General features: G+C 34.3%; 1 long non-coding RNA gene across 1 annotated transcript in view; it reads left to right on the top strand.

The window, feature by feature from the left end:
• The window catches only part of LINC00355 (long intergenic non-protein coding RNA 355), an 89,641-nt gene that overhangs the window by 32,341 nt on the left and 34,821 nt on the right, over positions 1-22,479 (top strand). The window contains exon 2 of the long non-coding RNA NR_145420.1: positions 9,134-9,324. This is a non-coding gene — a long non-coding RNA (long intergenic non-protein coding RNA 355). The remainder of the gene's footprint in view (positions 1-9,133; positions 9,325-22,479) is intronic.

Below are 22,479 nucleotides of genomic sequence, written 5' to 3'. Positions count from 1 at the left end.
ATGCCTGTTGCCTATTTTTTCTAAAACACAAATCTGACTAAGTTATGAGAAACCTTTTCCTCAGCATAAAGTCCAAACTTCAAAATTTGGCTTAAAATAACTTTTGTGTCTTAGCCTCTGATTATATTTCTGCCTCAGCTATTATTAGGAATTGAACTCTTTTTCTTTCCTCAAGTTTGGAAAATCAATTACAGTTCAATTGTCAACTCTTTAATATAGTACTCCTCCATCTGGAATCTTTTCCCATTTCTCAGCATTCATCCTGCTAAATTTGTGTAGAGAACTCTTGCTTATTTTCCAGATATCACTGTCTCCAAGAAATGTTTCCTCATCTTTCAAGACTATTAAAAGATTTTTTTTCCCTACGGATTCCTGTGGCCCCCCTTTATAACCGTAGCTTCGCAAGACCAAGGTATTATAATTTTCCATTTACTTGCATGGGTTCTACATTGGACTGTCAACTGCTTGAAAGCAAGGGTACTTTAATTTTCTTATTGCATTCTTTTTTTTTTTTTTTTTGAGATGGAGTTTCGCTCTTGTTGGCCAGGCTAGAGTGCAGTTGCGTGATTTCAGCTCACTGCAACCTCTGCCTCCCTCATTCAAGTGATTCTCCTGCCTCAGGCTCCCAAGTAGCTGGGATTACAAACTTATGCCACCACTACCAGCTAATTTTTGTATTTGTAGTAGAGACAGAATTTCAACATGTTAGCCAGGATGGTCTCAAACTCCTGACCTCAGGTGATCCACCTCCCTCTCATAGATAAGAGTATCCTTCAAATAATGGACACTCATGAATTGACTCCCTCATGGAGAATTGAAAACATTGAAACATTAAAAATTAAACAGGGAAAAAATGAGAAAAGCACCTCTTCAGGACTTTGTCCTTATTCCTATCTGCTCTTCAGATTTTAAGCATTATCAATCAGAAACTTTTAATAAAGACTTAAGACTTTTATTAAATATTCTTTCAAATTATCCCTGAATCTAAAATTGAGTCCACACACACCTACACACATGTGCGTGCGCACACACACACATACACACCTCAAACAAAATCAACTACTGCTAGTCTACTTATTTTATGCAGACATTTTTATTTTAATAAAGATAGTAAGAAAAAACTCATTGTTTTTTCTTCTTATAACCCTCAATTATTTAGAAAACCCATGAGGATCTTTTCAGAGTTCTTCCCTCGTGATAGAGCATATATACCACTGACTTGTCATACAGGTTTATTATGGATAGTTTATAATTTTCTCATTCTTCCACCTTTTTATTCTTTCTTTTCCTATTTTGTTATTTTTTAAGATAGAACTCAAAACCTTTTTTAATATTTTAGTTTTCTAGCACAAGTGTGATTCTGTAGGTATTTTGTAAAATGAGCTACATCAATATAATTCTAAGATAAATTTACATAAGATTGTATAATGGAGTTTATAATTTTTATGACAGCATGTATATGATTTCTCTAGTCCCAATGGTTATAGAAAACCAGAAATTAAGATAAAGGGAGATGATTTAAATAATTTAAATAAAGATTTTATCTACATATCTACAGATATTATTGGCTAAAGAATTAAATTGTGATTGCTAATTTTTGTGATTTTTTGCATAAATATATATGTTTATGTTTTATAGTCATTCATTACCTGTAGTCAATGAGCAGTAAAAAGTGTTGTCCTACAAGGTCAAACAACATTAAGAAAATTCATTTTTTAACCATATAATGTAAGTTAATTTGTAAAAACAAGTAATATGTTCAAAAAAGTATTTTTAATAATGGTTATTAATATAGTAGCTAGTAAATTAGGCACAAATGCAACATGAAATGTATACCCTCCCTCTACTATGTGTACCAACCACATTTAACAACAAAAAGAAGAAAGAGGTTTCTTGATATATATATATATATATATATATATATATATATATTTTTTTTTTTAAGAACAAATGTCAGAAGAGAGAGAATTTCTCTCCTTTTTTCAAAAAGCAGGTAATGTGAGTTTGACTAGGCAAGGTGGAGTTTTCCTTGATTTGAATGATGCTACAGAATTATCGATAAATATTGAAGGCAGCTCCAAATGAAACCTAAGCCCAACTTACGGAATTGCATACATATCTAGAATGACAGTGGCAACTGGACTGAAAGTTTCCAGCTGTTGAATTGTGCTGCACAGTCAGATTTCCTGGTAATTCTTACTGGCACTCTGAATAAAGTGATCTCAGCTGCTTGCCTGCTTCTACTCCAAACTGGCTAGGGAGAAATGCAGGAGTATGAATTGGAGCTTTCTTTAATAACTGATAGAGTGTACCTGAGAATCTGGCTCTAACTGATTCATCCAAAAGCAGTGTTATCTTGATTGGTCAAGCTACTTTTTTTCTAAGCTTTTCTCGTTTCCAAAATTAATATTATTTATTTTCTGTTCTTTAAAGAGACAATAAAGCAAGTAACTGAACCCAATTTTTGGCACATGGAAAGCCCTTAATACTATTGGCTGTAAGTTTCTTACATTTTGTAAGCTCATTAGGTTCACCCTCATTTATCTAGTGTGACATTTTTGCATTAAATTTAACCCCCTTTATTTGCAAATGCAAAATATTATTTCATCCAATTTTGAATCCCAAATATAATAAACATAAAATAACAATAATTTAACATTTTTCTCTAAATAATTGAAGGATTCGTTTGAATCCAAAGAACTTGCTTTTGAAATATTCTTTCTTTACCTGTATTTTATAAGTAACCTCTGTATCTATGTTAAATGGATTTATCTGAATACAAGTCACATTTGTATTATATGCGATCAGTTGGTGAATTAAAATACAAAGCAGATTTACTTTTTGTACAAGGGGTAATTTAAGAAGAATCCTAATCCTTTAATTTATCCATTTCATTAGGTTAAAGAAAAAGACTGTATAATATGGTACTCACTGAAGAGTGATAAAGTGGGTATATATCAAAGGGTGAAGGTGAAGATCGTATTTTTTCTGAAATACTGTATCTGAATTTGACAAATATAAGTGGTCTTTCCTACAAATTTAGAAAATTAGAGATTCAGTGAAACATGACAATTCCAAAAAACTTAGGCCTATTTATATTTATGACTTTACTACTTGGTTTTACAACAAATTTAGAAAAAATTATGGAGTCTGATAAAGAAAAAGCAAAGTATAAATTTTAAATATGGCAATAGCTGCTCAAAGCTGGGCTTCTTAATTAGAAAAAGGGAAATTTCAAAACTCTTATCACATGGTATTTAATTGACAGAGTATTCATTTTATTATTATAAAATAAACTAAGCTTCATGTGTTACTGATATTTCTCACAGGATTTTATACACAGTTATGGTGTAGTAATGACATTTACTAACAATATGAACGTAGAATATAATTTTCAAGAAAATTTTAAGAAAAAAATAGGAGCTAAACTATTACCGGTTTTTCTTGTCCCAAGACTTCTGCAATTGTTCATACAAAAAGAAATGAATAGAGATGCCAATCATTTTCACTAACTTCATGCTGTGAATATAAATGGCTGGACAAGAAGAAAGATTAGCAATAAAAAATATAATCTAAAAGGAAAAAGAATAAAGGCAGCTGAAGAAATACATATTTTGCCTTCAAGAAAACTGCAGACCATCATGAAGGCACATAAGTGTCTCCTCTATTTCAGTGGATTTCACTTTGTCATTATTTCTTTGTTGTCTAATGTGTATGTCTCTTTTTTCCCCAGTAGTACTGTAAGTTTTTAAAGACTGAATTTGTAGTCCTGCCTTTCCTTTGCGTGTCCCATTCTAATAAGTATAGGAAAGACACCAAAAGTTATCAGTAAAGGCTGGTTAAATGAATACAGTTGCAGTTGTAGGTGACTACATAGGTGAGAAGACGAAAAATAATCACTTGAAATGTGTTTCAAGGTATATGTTTATCCAGAAATAGCATTTAACTCAAACTATTTGGAAGTATGCTGCCATTTTTTCCCCAGTAGATTAAAAGGGAATAGATGCCTTTAGTGTAAACATTTAAAAAGATGTAGTTATCAGTTTTACAGTGGTGATATGAAAGTACATTAAAGAATTCCCATAACCTCTTAAAAATTCTACAGCAATGCTTAGTATATTCCAAATTCATTTTTTCTTTCATTGATGCCAATGTTTTTGGACATTGGCATCAATGAAAGAAAAAAAAAAATTGAGCAGTGGCCTGCTCAAATATATGTCTGCCCAGATCTTGTCATTGTGGTCCATTTTAAAAAGGGATTTTTGCAGACGTAACTGAGTTCAGAGTCTCAAGATGAGATCATCCTGGATTATCTGTGTGAGTCCTAAATCCAATAGTGTGCACTAATACAAGAAAGGAAGAGGAAGACTTGAGATCTACACAAAGGGGAAGGCTATATGAAGTAGAAGTTAAAGATTAGAAGCAGAGATCGGAGATATCTGTTTACCGTGAAATGTAAGCAAATCTTCTCTGGGATGAGAGGGGAGGATTTAGTGTCCTGGAATGTCTTTGGTAAGGGAGATAGTCTCAATATATAATTCTTATGCTGTTTCTAAATGCCTTTGTTACAAAGGAACATGAGCGATTCTAGTGAGAGTTGTATCCCAATAACCCTCCTCCCTAGATATAGATACATCCCTGTAGGAGGTATAACCCCACCATTTCATATTGGTCCCCACATATGTGATATTTCTAGGGCTTGTTTAATAAAGACATGGCAAGTTATGATAGCCCAAACTGCATCTTATTTTGAATTTATTATAGAAGAATATAGCATGTGGCAAATAAATCCTAGATTTATATTTTATAGGTAGTGGTTAAGACTCGTGATTGGCAATCCATAATGACTTTGTAGAGTATGTCTCTGGAATTATCTTCTGTGATACAAAAGGATATGTTATACATCTTAATTTGATCAGAGTTTATTGTCTGTGAAATGCTTCCTGTGACTCTAGAAAGAAGGAGTTGAAACTTTTGTACAGATTTCTGCTATATATTAGGGCAGGCATATATATACCACCAGAACTATGTCTTAACATGAGAAAAGTACAATCAATGTAAGTTTCTTCAAAGTAGTTACAAAATTTCATCTGACTTAATATTAAAAGGGGTAATATGCAGGGCTACTTTCAAGTACAGCAATGACTGATGTACTAATAACTACAAAAAAAATCAGAGAACTATCTAAATCCTAATTTAGACCAAAACAAACAAGTAATACAGCAATCAACAAATAGTTTTAAATCAAAGTTTTATCAGACATGTAATATTTGATTATTAGCAAGTCAGATGCCAGACTTTAAACATGACCCTTCTAAATCCTATATTCCTTAATCCTTAATACTAAGACAGATGAAATTTTCATCAGAGTATAAGTTGCAGATTGTAACTTATTGGGATCAATAATAGGCGATGAAGAAATGCAAGCAAAATAACTAAAAAATTTACTGGAATCCAGATGAAGTCACACAATTAGTACTTAGCTATATTAAAATCTCTTTTGACACTCACACTCTACTCTGCTTCCATAAATGTATGGAATATAGGATTTAGAAGGGTCATGTTTTAAACCTGTCATCTGACTTGCTGATAATCAAATATCACATGTCTGATAAAACTTTGATTTAAAACTATTTGTTGATTGATGTATTACTTATTTGTTTTGTCCTGAATTAGGATTTAGATAGTTCTCTGATTTTTTTGTAGTTATTAGCACATCAAGCATTGCTGTACTTGAAAGTATTGCTGTATATTACCCCTTTTAATTTTCAGGAATATGGACATAATTATATTTAAAGTTTTATAGTAGTGATTTATCTGCCTTCAGATAGCAATGTACATTAAAAGTGGAATCTACTAGAAACACTTTGAGGAAGAATGCTATAGATTTTAGAAGTTATGGCTGACCTGGTTTTACTTTGTGCAAGATGTCATTGCATTTTTAACTGGTGTCAATTGTTATTTACTAAGAAAATAATGCCTCAAATTTTCTTTGTCCAGACACAAGTAAGATGTTGGGAATTAATTTTTTCTGAAAATGTCTCTGTTTTCATATAATTATGCTCATCTTTTCTAACAAAAGTTGAACTAAAAATGGGGCTAATATAAGTTTCTTCATGTTATGAGAGATCGTAGAACGGATTTTACTCAAGGTTCAGAAAACTTATAAGATACAATGGCATCACTCTATTAATCAAATGGTAAAGTGATGTTATAAGAGGGGTTAATGGCAGCAGAGCCATTAGAAATATCTGCTCCAGAGCCATGTAGTTTGTTTCCTATTGTACTATTAGTATGCAATATGTTTTCATTCACTTCTTGCCTTTTTAAGAATGAGTATTTGTTATTTCAACTCATATCCATATGACAAAAGCAGAGTTGTACTATTCGGTGCCTTTTTGCTGAAGTAGGTGAATATATATACTAAAAGAATAGGTTCATATGAATAAGATATAGGGCATTTATTGGACTCTAATATTTGTTTTTTACAAATGCACTGCATAAAACATTGTAAATAATTGAATACTTAATGTTATTTTTACATTATTTTTCTACATAGCAGACGAATGTGATGAAGACCATGTCTATGTCTAGATGTTTATATGTCCTTTTAGAGGAATAAAGTATTATTTTAAGTAATATCATATTTGCTTTTAGTGAGCTGTTAATATTTTTCATATTCTAGCAGGTCAATTTTGATATGAAGATAATTAAAACTCTAGAAATTCATTATATCAGCATATACAAATGCACAGCTTGCTTATATATTTGTCAATATCATACACTGTTAGCATTCACAATGAACACTTAGCATTGCAAAATGAGAATAAAGGAAGTCTTTTTAATTGATTTTAAGGCAGTGCTCATAAATGAGAAAAAGTAATGGAAAGAAATTATTGAAATTTGATGAACGATATGAAGTAGATAGACATTTACTTCATTTATTTTTGTTTTTTAAAACAAATAGCTAAGTAGATCTGTTTTTACATATTTACAAACTGTAAAGCTGTTTCAAGGTTCTTATTAATAATTGATTTCCACCTAATTGCTATAAATGATTAAACTAAGCTTTTAAAAATATTGTCTTCATTAGTATAATCTCTTTATTATCTCATAACTTACTACAATTACATATAACCTGTTTCAAGGCTGTTGTGGTGCTAAACATTTAAACTTTATATTATTCAAAACTTCATGTTTGTTTATTTTTTGAGATGGAGTCTCGCTCTGTCACCCAGGCTGGAGTGCAATGGCTTGATCTCAGGTCACTGCAACCCCTGCCTCCCAGGTTTCAAGTGATTCTCTTGCCTCAGCCTCCTGAGTAGCTGGGATTACAGGTGTGCACCACCACGTCCAGCTAATTTTTGTATTTTTAGTAGAGACGGAGTTTCACCATGTTGGCCAAGTTGGTCTCCAACCCCTGACCTCATGATCCTCCCACCTTGGCCTCCCCAAATGCTGGGATTACAGGTGTGAGCCACCATGCTCGGCTTATTCAAAACTTTTGTAATTTATCTTTATGAGTATGTATTATTAATTTAAATGGTTATTCAACAAATTTTAAGTGAGTTAATCATTTGTAAGAAGCACTGACTTAAGTCCTGAAGATACAACAGGAGACAAAACAGACAAGAAACAACAAAGGAAGATTAAAAAGCTTAAGGAACAGTTGGTTTGGAAGAGTTGGTTTAGAACGTCAGGCAAATTGTGCAGAAATGATACTGGGAGCTATTGCTATATTGAGTATATGATGAAAAATACCCTGGGTCAAACTATTTTAATATAATCTATATGTAAATTAATTGATTACTTAATATCAAGTAGGTAAAGAAGAATTGCTCTTATATAACAACATCCTAAATTGAAGGCTTTTGAAATATTTTATTAAAAAATAACATTCAAAGTAGTATTATTCCTTGCTATAAATGTAAGTATACTGTATTACACAGAAATGCTTTGGCCTACATAGAAAATTTTTTATAATTTTGTTTTTAAACAAGGCTTTCAACTTGTGTGGCAACTAGAAGCTTGCAGAATGCTTGTGTTCATTACAAATGTGCTATTTTATTTTACTCAGCCCTAATGATTTTCATTATCTCCTTAGTTGATAGAATCCATTTCCAAAACCAATAATCTCTTGAAATCCACTGAGCCACAAATTTCTCATTAGAAAAAATTTTCAAAGATCATTACCTTTACTATAGATGTTCACTTTTCATCTCCTGCATACTCTCTTGTAATGCTCCTTATAATAAGGGGAGGGGAGATTATATAGTTACAGAGAATGATTTCGGTGAAATACAGACCAATGACTTGTTTACCATTTGAAACACTGCATTTTATTAAAGGTCAACATTGCATTGTGTTTAACCTTAATTCTATACTTGCAAATCTAATGTGTTATCATTAAAATATAAATAGGACTTTAATTATACTATTCTGATAGTTTCTGAGGTGTTTCATGATTTTATTATAATTTTTGGACGAGCAAATGTGTATGAATATTTGATGACCTGCAACAGTTGAACAGTAATTTAGTCTGGGAATTATTTCATATATCTAATTTAGGGCATTTCTTATATAATAATATAATTTTACAAGTATAAAGTTTTTCTACTTTTAGTAAAATAAATGTTTGATTTCTTTAAAAACTACAAGTCTACTGATGTGTCTAATCAGGGAAAAAAACAAAAATTATCTCAAAATGAACTTAATAACTTAGGATTATATGGATTATTTTCATTACCCTCAAAGCTGCCTTGAAACCTCTGTACCTATATTCTAATGTTTTGCATGTGGAAATAATTAGAAGTTAAATAAAAATGTAAATATTTTTGTCATATAATACATATTGCTATTAAGAACAATTACATTCAACCTAATTTATGTCTTTGTTTGTTAAAGACATAATAAAAGAGAGATTTTATAACCAAGCCTTTAGGAAATCTTGGTTTAAATATTGACAGTGTTAATTATTAGCCTTGTGATCTTGGACAAGTTATTAGCTCCTTTTGTTCTCCATTTTCTCTCATACAAAAAAGTGAATCGTATTTATCCTATGAAGCTCTGGCCACAATGCCTGCCCCACAGACAGTCTGATGGATGTTTGGCTTTTTGCTTTTTGTTCTACTAGGCCTCCATTTGCTGTTTGGGAAACTCTCTACGCTATGAATGTTAGCTGGCAGCAAACACTGCCTCCCACTACAGGGGCACACAGTGTTGGTGCCTGCTTTTCCACCCTCCACTTCCAACAGGAAGCAAGCACAGGACCCAAGCATTGCAGACAGTTGTATCACGCCAATGTGCATTCGGAGCCACTGACAGGTAAAGGTTAGGAATGAGAAATGATGTTTTTAAAAGTTATTATAATAGGAAGAGCAGCAACAGGGAACACATCCATTACCAGAAACTATTTTGGGGATATTCTTACAGGAAATGTTGATATTAACCAAGATATACCATTATATTTGTACTGGTCATTAAAATAAGGTTTGTGGCACTTTTCTTACTGCTTAGCATCTGGCCTAGTTCCCAGCCTTCCTAATGATTATGTGAGCTGCCTGATATCCTCTTAATAAACTCCCTTTTTGCTTAACCCAGCAAGAGTTGCTTGAAATGCTTACAAATAAGAACACCCTCTGATACCGAAAGTGGTTACTGACTGTTAATTATTGTTTTATTATAAAGTGGAGCAATTAGTTCATAGGATTTTTTCAATGGACATATCAAATTTTTCATTTTTTAAAAAGTGGGCTGGATTAGATGACCTGAACTTTACATCTAGTAGAATTTTCGTGATACTGTGATAACACAATTGGCCTTCCCTATCCCTGGGATCCACATGCGTGAATTTAACCAACTACAGATCACCAATTTTTTTTTAAAAAAAGCATCTGTACTGAACTTGTGCAGACTTTTTTCCTTGCCATCGTTCTCTAAACAATACAGTGTGGCAACTATGTACATAGCATTTATGTTGTATTAGGTATTATAGGTACTGTAGAGATAACTTAAAGTATAAAGGAGGATGTGCATAGGTTATATGCAAATACTATGTCATTTCATATCAGGGACTTGAACATCTGAAAATTTTGGTATCCATGGGGGGTCCTAGAACCAGTCACCCTTGGTTACTGAGGGAAAAACTTATGAGAGATTTATTATATCTTTTCTATATGAATAATAAAGAAAGTGAGTAAAACATCCTTGTACAACCACACATAGGAAAGAAACAGAAGGACTAAAGAAAATGTGGAGTTTTGACAAGTAAATATACAAAGGTTTACTAATGTGTGTTAATAATATCTTGTATTTTGCAGCTAAGCTTTCTTTCAAAATAGATAAAATAACATTTGAAAACCCTCAAGAAATGACTCCATTTTAATTATTTTTTGTCATGCTTACTCACATTAGGTAAAAGAGCCTGTTTTCATGCCACTTTCTTACATAGTCCTGGTGCTAATTAATTTGGCCATACAAATCCATAAAATGAGCACTAAAAAGACATGAAAATAATTGACCTCCCTAAGGCAACTTTCTTGGCTTTTGCTGGTAGGATATGGATTCATTAAAGTACTTGCCATTATGTGTATTCATTAAAGAAGGAAACAATCTATTTTGTCATCAACAAACCAAACAACTTTCTAACCTCTTGCTAGTTCCCAGATAACATTTAGTTTAATTGGCCTGACCCTGACTATCCTTTAAGGCTTTTCAAGAAAAAAAGTAGGTAGACACATGTGGAGGGAAATTAAGTGGGCCTGGCACAAGCTCCTGAAGTTGCTCTGGTAACAATAGATTTAGAATATACAAAGTTCAAGTGAATATGAATTGTAAGTGACAGCTGAACTGCTAGAGAGCAGAGCAAAATTCAGCAGTTCTGGATACTGTTAGTAAACATTTTATATTTTTGACTAGTACCAAACATTTTTACGTTATTGCCAATATTCATAAAATGTTATACTATAGGATATTTGTAAAAATATACATGTAAAGAAATGAGAGACATAGACTTAATATATTAGTCATTATTTTATGAAAGTTAATAAGGAAAGGAAAAACACTAACATGTCAATAGAAAAATGGCAAAGGACCTAAATGAAGAAATATAAATTGCTAATAAAAATATTCAAATATTCTAGAAATAGAAGATTTGCATGTTTAAATAGTAATGTACCATTTTTTTTCTGTGTGTGTAAAATTGACAAATATTGGGAAACCAACAAAGATGATCTTCATTGCTGGAAATTTGCTGCGGAATAATCAGTCTTATACTATTCTCTAGGATAAAAAACTCTCTGGAAAGAAAGCATCAGAAGCCCTTAAAAATGTATTCCCTTGGCCAGGCATGGTGGCTCACGCCTGTAATCCCAGCACTTTGGGAGGCCGAGGCAGGCAGATTGCCTGAGCTCAGGAGTTCTAAACTGGCCTGGGCAACATGGAGAAACCCTGTCTCTACTAAAAATACAACAAACTAGCCAGGCATGGTGGCAGGTGCCTGTAATCCCAGCTACTCGGGAGGCTGAGGCAGGAGAATTGCTTGAACCCGGGAGATGGAGGTTGCAGTGAGCCTAGATTGCGCCATTGCACTCCAGCATGGGTGACAGAGTGAGACTCCATCTCAAAAAAAAAAAAAAGTATTCCCTTTAACCAAGTGATTCTAGGAATCTATCCTGAATTAATAATAGAAATTTTGGACCCCACATTTGGACTGTTGCCTTTTTTTTTAAAGCAAAGCATAATTAGAGTTGAAATAAAAATTGTTGCAACTTAGTTTTAAATTAATAAGGTATAATTTAAAAGTCTCCTTATATAGCATGGCCAAAATATGTGTATAATCATATATATGCACCTATGTATATGTGTGGATATGTGAGATATCTTTATACCTCAAACTAAAAAAAAAATAGTTCAAGGGAATTTTAACATGGATCTATCAAAGAGATACAATTTCAGCTAATTTACATATTTTTCTTTATGATATTCTTGTTTTCCAAAATGTTTAAATTGAGCAGATTATTTAATACATTGTAAAATATTTTTAATGTGTCTGTAAATGAGAACGTCAATTCTAACATCTTAGAAAGAGCAGAGGTAAAAGAGAAAGTTATTAATCTTCCAAAACTAATCATCATAAAATTATCTTGCTGGATTGTTTTGCACTTGATCATTCAATGGGAAAGTTGGCGGACACTTCTTTCAGAACATTTATGTATTCTGATGGAACAAGAGAACCCGTGCTCTTAAGTGTAGCCCTCCCACTCTCGAATTGCCTAATACAAAGTGTAATTTTTAGTTGAAATTGAACTCAAATGCAATTTGATATCTGTTCTCCCAATTTACAATGGCAAAATAAATGGAAAATTTAGAGAAATTTTTGAAGGAAGGCTGTGTTTGTGTCTGGTGAGAGTGCTGAGTAAGTAACGAAGTCACACTCTAAAAAGAGTAAGAAAACACAGGGATATTTTTATAATGAAAGATGACCTAAAAAGTCCTTCTTCTCTTTTTTTCTTACATTTCAAAAGTTAAACAATGTAGCTCTTTCTGCATCAGACATATCTTAGTGGTTTTTGAATATGTTGTAATAATTAAAGTCATTACTAATGTATTTGTGTCTCCAATGTTCAAATTTCTTCCCCTATGCATTGTTTATTCAGTTAAGAAACTAAATTACTGATTTCATAAACATTTCTATTCGGGAAGAGTTCCCCTTTTCTGCCTTAATTCTCTCACCGTCTTCCCTGTTTCTTCTGTGGGAGCATTGCCTTCACAAATCACGTTATCTCAAATCCTGTCTCAGATTCAAAACTTTTGAGGAATCCAACACCATGTACTTCCAAAGCATAAAAGGTGATACAAAACAACACTTTTGAATAGGGTATGGTTTACTGGTCTATGGAAATAGGAGCACAAGAATAATCAATGGCAATGTTATTTGGACCTGAGAGAATACTTTACCATTGGAGTTTATCAAGAAAATAAAGAAAAATGACAGAAATAAAAGGAATACTTAGGAAAAAGTATCATGAAATGACCATGGTGAAGATTCACTGAACAACCTAAGCGTGGCTGCTTGTTCTATCTGTTGTATGTCCCTCTATTTTCCCTCATTGTCTGCCTTTTCCTTGGGTTCCGGCTCAGGAAATTGATCTGTAGTATTTCATCAATAGTGCTCTGTGTCTCTGGTTTCAGCTGGGGTCAGACTATGGAAAGCCTCATTAGGAGATTGTAGGGAGGCAGAAGATGAAGTTAGAGTATTTATTTTCTCGTCTACCTTCCTATTAAGTTGCTTTAAGCTTCTGACTTCTACACCTGGCAAAAATTACATTTATCTCAAGACCCCTGACCCTATTTAATGTTCTGTTCTTCTGTCTTCTGCATGTTTCTGATATGTTGTAATATCTGATTTCTTAAATATGTTCCCCTTCCTTTTCCTTTGGATCGGGAGATGATAATACCTTATTGTTACCAGCTCTGTTACTACAGTGTCTTTGTGGTTCCCCTAAAACTATATGTTTGTAAGTAATTAGCTTTGTAATTAAACTCCATTCACATTAGACTACTAAGAGTTTGCCATCCTTTTCCTTTTAGAACCTTGATAGTATTGAAACGGGAAAGGTTCCCTTGTGCCCCTCACAGAGCTTGCGATGGGGATGTGGGTCGCTTCTTAAGTGCCCCACTGCTCAAACCTCTAGGGGAGCACACAAACGGGCAGGCTGTGTGGCTCCCACCCCACAGCAGTGTCTAAGAGTGAATATTTACAGCTCCCGAAGCCCCAGTGGGCGTGTCTTACAGGATGCCTTTTAGTTTTGCCGTCTATAGGCGGCTTGTGCTAACCAGCTCAATTAGACCCTCTACCTTGTAGCAAGGACAGAGGGCTTTCCGTATCCCGGGTTCTTGCCTTGGTGTGCCGGGAGAATCAGATCACACCTGGGCTTGGAGAATGATTGCAAGGTCTTATTGAATGGAGGTAGCTCAAGGGAAGTCAGAAGGGAATGGAGTGGGAAGGATTTTCCCTGCAGTTGGGCTACTCAGCGGCTTGGGCTCTCATCTGACTGCCCAGCTAAACTCTGTTTCGTTCTGCTTCTGCCGGTCAGTGGCCTGCTCGTCGGTGGCCTGCCGGCATGCCAGTGCCTGTCAAGAAGTTCACGTGCCTGTCAAGAGGTTCAGGTACCTGTCAAGAGGTTCAGCTGCCTGTGTGTTCCTCCGCTTATGTGCTCTTCTCAATGTTCAGCCACCTGTATGCCTGCCTGTTAGGGTCTCAGGGTTTTTATGGGCACAGGATGGAGGCTTGGCAGGCCAGGGTGGTCTTGGGAAATGTAACATTTGGGTAGGAAATGCCTGTCCTCACCTAGGTCTGTGAAGGTGGAGCCATAGCAAGGGACCATACACTTCTCTACCCAGGGCTTCCCTTCCCCACTTCCGTATCTTTTAAAGGGACCACACTCTTCCCTTCCCAACACTTCCCTTCCATATTAATATTATGAATCTAAATTTCTGAATAGCTTATGATATGTTTCATAATTTTGAATTACTTTTTTCTTTCTATATAACTGACCCAAATCTTATTTGAACATCTCTTCTTTTATCACTTTCAATTATTTGTATATGTCTATGTTCTATGCATTTTCTCATACAATTCTACACACTTTTATTCAAGTTTTATCAATATGTATCAATATAATTCTTTTTTCTATCAATACATTTTAATCAAATTATTGTCATGTTGTTTTCTTAAATTCACACATTAAGGGGAGAGATTTACTAATTATATTTTTGTAGCTCCAGCTAGCACTATTCCTTCTAGATACTGCTTAATTTAAACAACATTGATTTACAAGGATTTGTATTCCTCTTTAATATGTTCTGTACAGTTGCTATGGTTGCCAATTTTTGCAGAAAATTACTTCTATCTATGTTGCATCTCCAGGGCTATATGAATTCCAAATCTCACTGTTTAGAATACTCTCTAGTCTTTGTGTTTTTATACTTGAGTCTGTTTTATGAAACAGAGAAAGAAAAGCTTCCAATTTGTATAAAATCTTTAAAAATCTTCCAACAGGGAAAAACCATTTAAATAAGAAGTAGCCAGCAATAGTTGTTTAAACATGTCAAGCCCTCCTAATGTGAGCTTTAAAGATGCATGTTTTTTTATCTGTAGGATCTTTTGAGTAAGTAAATATAGTAAATAAGTATAGTGTAGATCTTTATTTTTTATTTTCACATTCTATTATACATAATAAAAATTACATATTTCATTAAGTTGTCTCTAATTAAAAACCTAAAAAAGTATTTAATTGACTAACTTATTCAATATTCAATTATCTGGAAAAAAATTGACCTATTTAACACATATTTATTAAGCACCTAATGTATGTTAAGCAGTAGACCTAAAGTAGTAAGAAGAAATGGCATCTTCTCAGCTATAGAAGTTCTACAAAATCTTGAGTTTATTCATCCAATCTTCAAACAAATATTTTGCAGACACCAGGAGACAAAAAAAGCAATTCTTCACAAATGCCCTATCCTTTATGTTTGTCACTTATTATTTTCCACTTATTATTTTTCCATTTCCTTCCACTTGTGATTTCCACTTACTATTTTTAATAATCTTTGTTTATTTTATCTATATTCGCCTTGATGCCTTCTTTGGCAAGGTTATGCCTTGTTTTTCTATGTATTAGAGACCCTCCTCACAGTTCTTGTCCCATACATAGTGCCTGGTTCATTATTGTGTTTCTTAATGCTCTCTCAATTCTAATCTTGCCAGGTTTAAGAATGTGCAGCTAGTGTTTCTTCCTCTAGCCAGAAAGAGTGATAACTAAAGACACATTTCTTAAACTAATAGAACACAAAATCACATGCATTGCCTGAAGTTTTAAGCTTTAAGGGTCTTGTGAAAAAGAGAAAAGTAATTAAATCCTTCTGTTCTTCCTCTTGATTTTATTTTGAAAATTAAACAAATTATTGATTTAGTTTTGTTTTTTTTTTTTACTTTTTTGTATAATTCATTTTGCATTCTGGTACCAAGTATGAAAATTTGAATAAATCCTTATCCTTAGTTTATGCCATATTGTCAGCAGGTACCATGTGAAACTCCTGAAATTATTTGTTTATTTAATCATCTATCAATTCATCTATCTGTTTATTTTTGTTTATTTACATTCCGTAACTCCATTTCCCTCCTACTTCCCCAGAATAATCACTTATAGCACTTACCATCAAAGAGATTGTGACCTATAATGAGAAAAATATTTTACAGCCTCACATTTCTTAAGAATAAAATAAAATTAAGACAGTGATTCAAGTGGGTCCACAACACAATTATTGTGTACTAAATGATAGTTTTAGATATTGGTATTTTTAGGAATTCTTATGGAAGGAAATACTACACAATGAACACAATGAGAGGATAATAGAGATTTTGGAAAAAAAATAAGAGATTTAAACTGAATTATTGAAAGTAGATGAATTTTATTAGAAAGTGAGAAATAGGGAACTAGGTGAGGAAAATTTAAGCCAGAAAAACAGATGTATAAGGTGTATGGAAATAATGAATTATTGAAGCCCTCCTATCAAGATAAGTTGAAACAGCCACTCATTTTAAAACAGACTAAATGCGCTGGGTGTGCCTTTGACTCGACCCTGTAATTCCAACTACTTGAGAGGCTGAGGCAGGAGGATCACTTGAGACCAGGAGTTCCAGGCTACAGTAAGCTATGATCACACTACTGTACTCCAGCCTGGGCGACAGAATGAGAACCCATCTATAAAATAAAAACCCAAACCAAAAACCAAAAACACAGACTAAACAAATGTCTAATAACTTCTGCCATTAGAAATAAAATAGAACAAAATATACACACTAACGAATTTCTCTAAGTTATTTCAGCCATTGATGTTTGATTTGATAATTTAAGGTTAATTAGGAAAATCGGTAAGCTTGTTAGCTTTTCTGAGTATAGCCTCACAAAAACTATTTGAATTTTCAAGAATGTGCCTGCAAACTTCAGTGGTTTTTCCAGAGGAGATTATTATTTAAATTGCAGAATTTAGCTTATGGTTATAAAACATGCAGCACACACATATCTATATTTACTTTATGATTGCTTATATATGTGTCCACCTGTAAAAGTATATCCATTTTGTATGAAGTGACTTCAGAGACAGACAGAGAGGTGTCCTGCAGTCACAGGCCACTTCATAGGCGATGACCATTGTAGTCTTAGAAAGGAGGTGCTTTTTAATAGTATGATCACTCATTTGACTACACATCAATGATCTACAATTGGAAGAGCAATTTGGAAATTAAAGGGAGGAATTTATTTGGGGAGATTTTTCAGTGTGTTGCCCTCACTGGACTCAATGTTGCATCGTACTCACTTTGTTCACTGAGTCTATTGTCTATCCACCATCTCAGTCCATTCTCATGAGGGAAGGATGGTGAGTACTAATCCTGCTTCTTTCCTTCCCATAGGTGTTTTAAGAGCGGCTTAAGCAAATCCCTTATTGAGGTAAAGTGTTAAACCCTATAGTGTTGGCAGGGGATGTACTGGATTAGGAACTTATACCTGCTTAGGCAATCTAAAGACAAGAAACTCATCTTCAGGCGTCAGAAGAAATTTAGAAAAATGAATGAGAAAGAGCAAGAGAGTGAAAGCGAGTGAGAAGAGAGTAAGAGAAAGAGACTGAGAGCATGCGTGAGAGAGAGATACCCATAGTCAGGGGCCTCTTCATGGGTGACAACCAGCGCAGTCTGACAGGGCTCCACATTCAAGAGATACCTGAACTACCAGGGGCTTAATGCTGTGAGACTGACATATTGAAACTCTTAATAGTGACATTTATGTTTTTAAAGGTAAGTCCCTAGGAAAGCGGTTCTGGAGCTTCACATGTGGCCCTGCCTTCCAATGCCTGCTTGAGATGGGTTCTTGGTAGCTAGCTTTTTACCTACCACTTTTCACCTCTGCCCAGCTTCCACTGTCACTGACTGCTCAGAATGAACTCCAGCTTGTATTGACACGGGAAGCCCTGTGGTCTTCCACTGCTGTCTGCCTTAATAGGTAACTTGAACACATTCATGGAAATTTGCAGGGTTTGGTGGACACATACTGTGACATCTTGGGATGAGGCATGCTGCAGTTATCCCTGCTCTGGGCTGTCAGTGCCAAAGTGCATTCAGACATTGACTTGAAGGGGCAAGTTGTTATCTACCCCTGATCCAAGGTTTTATTACAGCTTGGTATAGAGATTGCAATTCCTTGGTGGTTTGCTTGTCAGCCTTGGGTAGTGTGGTGGGTCCATCCCAACCCAGCACACTGTGTATCTGACTAAAAGCTTGAAGAGAGGAAAGCCAGCAGGCAGTGGGCTTTTCCTTGAGTTGTGTTGCAGGCCCCCAGGTACCTGTGAGGATCTGCATGCATTCCATAAGTATCCCCATGTGTGAGGGAGCTCAATGTTAAACAGCAATTTTTTAAAAAAATGACAGGTAGAGAGACTGTGGAAGAGGAGATTCTTTTTTAAAAAATTAATTTGTTACCTCTAACAGAATCTTTTTATTTTTTTCAAAGCAAGGGTTTCTATATTTAAATTTTGCATTAGAGTCAACCCTTTCCAGCTTATATTTTCACTGACTATGGAGAAAAAAATGCATACATTTTCTTATTTTTTTCTCTTTTCTATTCTTCCTGGTTTGTTTATTTGCTTTGCTTGCCAAATACATGTCACTTATCAGAGAATGGGAACCTATAGGCATCTTAAATGATTCCCATAATATTGCTTAGAGAGGGAATACCCGTCAACCCCTAAACAAATACATAAGAAGGTGGCTAGAATGCCAAATTTTTCAGGGCTGAAAGGAGATTTGTAAGTGATCACCAGGAAGAAAATATAATGGGCATGTCAAAGAAAGTCTAGTCAAATATCCCCAGTGGGTATCTCTGAGGAACTCACAAATAAGCTCCTCCGCATAACCCCATGACCAAAAAAAGGAGCTTGATTTTATTATCTGCCAAACCAAGGGTGCGTTAGCCTAGTGACTTCAAGACCAGAGGTAACAAAGCCTAACTACATTGATGCCAGGAAAGGAGGACCATTTTGCATCTGACCTCTTCAGCTTTGCTCTCTTCTTTCAACTCCGAGATCACCAGAAGCAGCCTAGTGAATAAGGAAGGAGGAATAGGATATTAAATAGGTTGACAGAGAAGAAACTGGTCCAGATCCCTTTCCTTCCAAAAGGTTTGACTAGCACTGTGCTCATGCTGGACAAGGCGCAAAGATTTAACTTGGAATAAAGCTTGGAGTTTAGTTATTGTATTGGACTAGACCTATTTATTAGATGGCAAATAGTCTTCTAACTGAAAATGACCAGAGGATTCTTTAATACTTGAGAAAATTGAAGAAGTTGTTACATTTGGACTAGACTGTTTCACAGGGGAAAGTGTCTAAAAACAGGCACGGAGTGAAGATGAAGCTGTACCCTGTGACTCATTTGTCTAACTCACTATTACACACTTCTATGGACTTATCAATTAGCTACTATATGTCAAAGCAAAACCTTTATTGAAGCAATGTAAGTGTGAGTAAATACTGTATTTGATATTAATATAATTTTTATTATTTCCTTTTTCTGATATCATTAAGATTATAAGTTGATCTTAAATAACAGAAACGTAGTATCGAATGGTTTGAATGAATAAGCATAATTTTTATTATTTATAATAAATATTAATCTATAAATTACTATTTTTAAAATTCTGAAACATTTGGTAACACTAAATATTACAGATTGATTTTTAGCTTCCACTTAGCTGTATAAAATAATCAATTTATTATTTATCCAGAATGATTTTAAAATTTATCTAACCATGTCTAGACTAATATTTTCTCCATGAGAACTAACTCTAAGAAAGCAAACGGGAAAACATTATTTTTCTCTACTCAAGAGCTTTTGCCCCATTTAAAGAATTTCCAAACTGTACCTAGCAGCTAATCCCACTGCTGACATTGACACTTTTCTACATGTTTCTCAGGGTCTGTAAATACACTTTTGAATGAGATTTTAGGAATAATGATTCTACCTGAATAAATATACCCCAGGGCTGCTCAAATATCTAAATATTTTGGGTAAAAACATTTGTAGAAAAACTGTGCATTCACAACCTATATGCTGACCTGTAATGGATTAGGGTATTCTACCCTGACATCAATTTTCCAGAAAAGAAAACCAATACTAACGTGAAAGAATCTTTCTTTGCCCTATAGGCCACAGATAGGATAAAGCTAAACTTATGCTGTTTTCTAATAATATTTTAAAAATCTCACGAGATCAAGAGATTAAGACCATCCTGGCCAACATGGTGAAACCCCTTCTCTACTAAAGATACAAAAATTAGCTGGGCATGGTGGTGCACACCTGTAGCCCCTGCTACTTGGGAGGCTGAGGCAGAAGAATCTCTTAAACCTGGGAGGTGGAGACTGCAGTGAGCCGAGATCGTGCCACTGCACTCCAGCCTGGAGACAGAGTGAGGCTCTGTCTCAAAAATAAATAAATAGGTCGGGCGCAGTGGCTCATGCCTGTAATCCCAGCACTTTGGGAGACCGAGGCAGGCAGATCACCAGGTCAGGAGTTCAAGACAAGCCTCCAGCCTGGAGACAGAGTGAGACTCTGTCTCAAAAATAAATAGGTCGGGTGCAGTGGCTCACAACTGTAATTCCAGCACTTTGGGAGGCTGAGGCAGGCAGATCACGAGGTCAGGAGTTCGAGACAAGCCTGACCAACATGGTGAAACCCCATTTCTACTAAAAATACAAAAATTAGTGAGGCATGGTGGTGTACGCCTGTAATCCCAGCTACTCGGGAGGTTGAGGCAGGAGAATCACTTGAATCCAGGAGGTGGAGGTTGCGGTGAGCCAAGATCGCACCACTGCACTTCAGACTGGGCAACAGAATGAGACTCCGTCTCAAAAAAATAAATTAATTAATGAATTAAAAAAATCAAAATCAGAATAATGAAATCTTACATTTCATTTTATACACACACACAAACACACACATATATAAGGTGTTATGTTTTTTATATATATATAACAATATTTACTGTTATGTTTTTTATGTATATTACAATATTTACTGGAAAATAACATATCTACTCAGAAGTTAATGACTGTGGTCAAGTAACAGGCATTGGAATAAAAATGATAGACACTTAAACATTTTAAGCAACATTTAGTAGGATAAGCACAATATAATATATATGTACAAATTATTTTGGAAACATAAGGGAAAATTCTTGGAAACATAAGAAATAAAGGAAGAAAGGAGTATGTTTGACCAAAGAGAAGATATTTTACCAAGACCTTAAAGAACGGAAATTCACTAATAAAGACAGAAAATAAGTACATTGTAAAATATAAACAACAAATGAACTAACAATTAAGTGGGCATCTTGATTTCAATTAAGGAAATCTTGAGAGCTTCAGTTTGTGCACGCTATTTGAGTATGGGGAAGATTAGAATAGAAATCTAGTTAGGTACCAGTCATAGGCTTTCTCATGCTAATACTTTTCTACTTTATCATATGGACCAATTAGATAAGTTTTGTTAACAGATAACTGAAAACATTATGAAAAGTTATTGCAAGGGTTAAAGAAATGGTAGATGATTTCAGTTGGCAAGATATTGTAAAAGCCCACATGAGAGAATGCTGTGAAATAATATTATGGTATGAAATATGCAAAGATGTGGATTTGAGAGATATTTGTTTGGTGGTATTGACAGAATTTAGAAACCAAGGACACAAATTGGAAGAGAGTGATGAGAAAACTTATAATCATGAACAAGATTCCCAATTTTTATTGACAGCCGAGACAATGCATATTATTAAATGTTAAAAAAGAGAAATCCTTTCTTTCTCACAACTATTTTAAATATTATTTAATCTCCTCAAAACTTGGATTTAGTCTCCATCTCCTAACTCTCAGGAGGCGACATTCGCTTTTATTTCAGATTGTCACTTTGTTGGAAGAAACACTATTGGCTTTCCGTCACCAGTTGACCAAAACTGTCATTGACCCTCCTACCTAGGTCTAATCTCTTTACCTACACCATTGGGCCATTCCTTTGCTTGCCTTACAGTTTAATAATTTTTTCCTTACTTCTATATTGTTAATCTATCCCTTTCTAAATGTGCCATCTTATCATTTAAACTTGTCCAAATCTCTCACATTTGAGAATGAGGTCGATAACCTATTCTGCATTTACTTTATCTTTTTATTTCACTTTACAGACAAATATTTCCGAAAGTTGTCTATATTTGTCCTCCACATATTTTCATATTTTTAATTTTTTTTACCTTCCTTCATTTTGATTTGTACACCTGGAACTATGATAATAATCGCCACGTTACTAAATCCAAAACACACATTTTGATCTAAGGTAATCATTCATTTCAGCATATTGTGGTCTACCTCTTCCAACTG

The sequence above is a fragment of the Homo sapiens genome, chromosome 13 (genome assembly GCF_000001405.40).
Source record: "Homo sapiens chromosome 13, GRCh38.p14 Primary Assembly".
Lineage (NCBI taxonomy): Eukaryota > Metazoa > Chordata > Mammalia > Primates > Hominidae > Homo > Homo sapiens.
The sequence above is the reverse complement of the archived record's forward strand: the minus strand, read 5'-3'. Positions and strand labels throughout refer to the sequence as shown.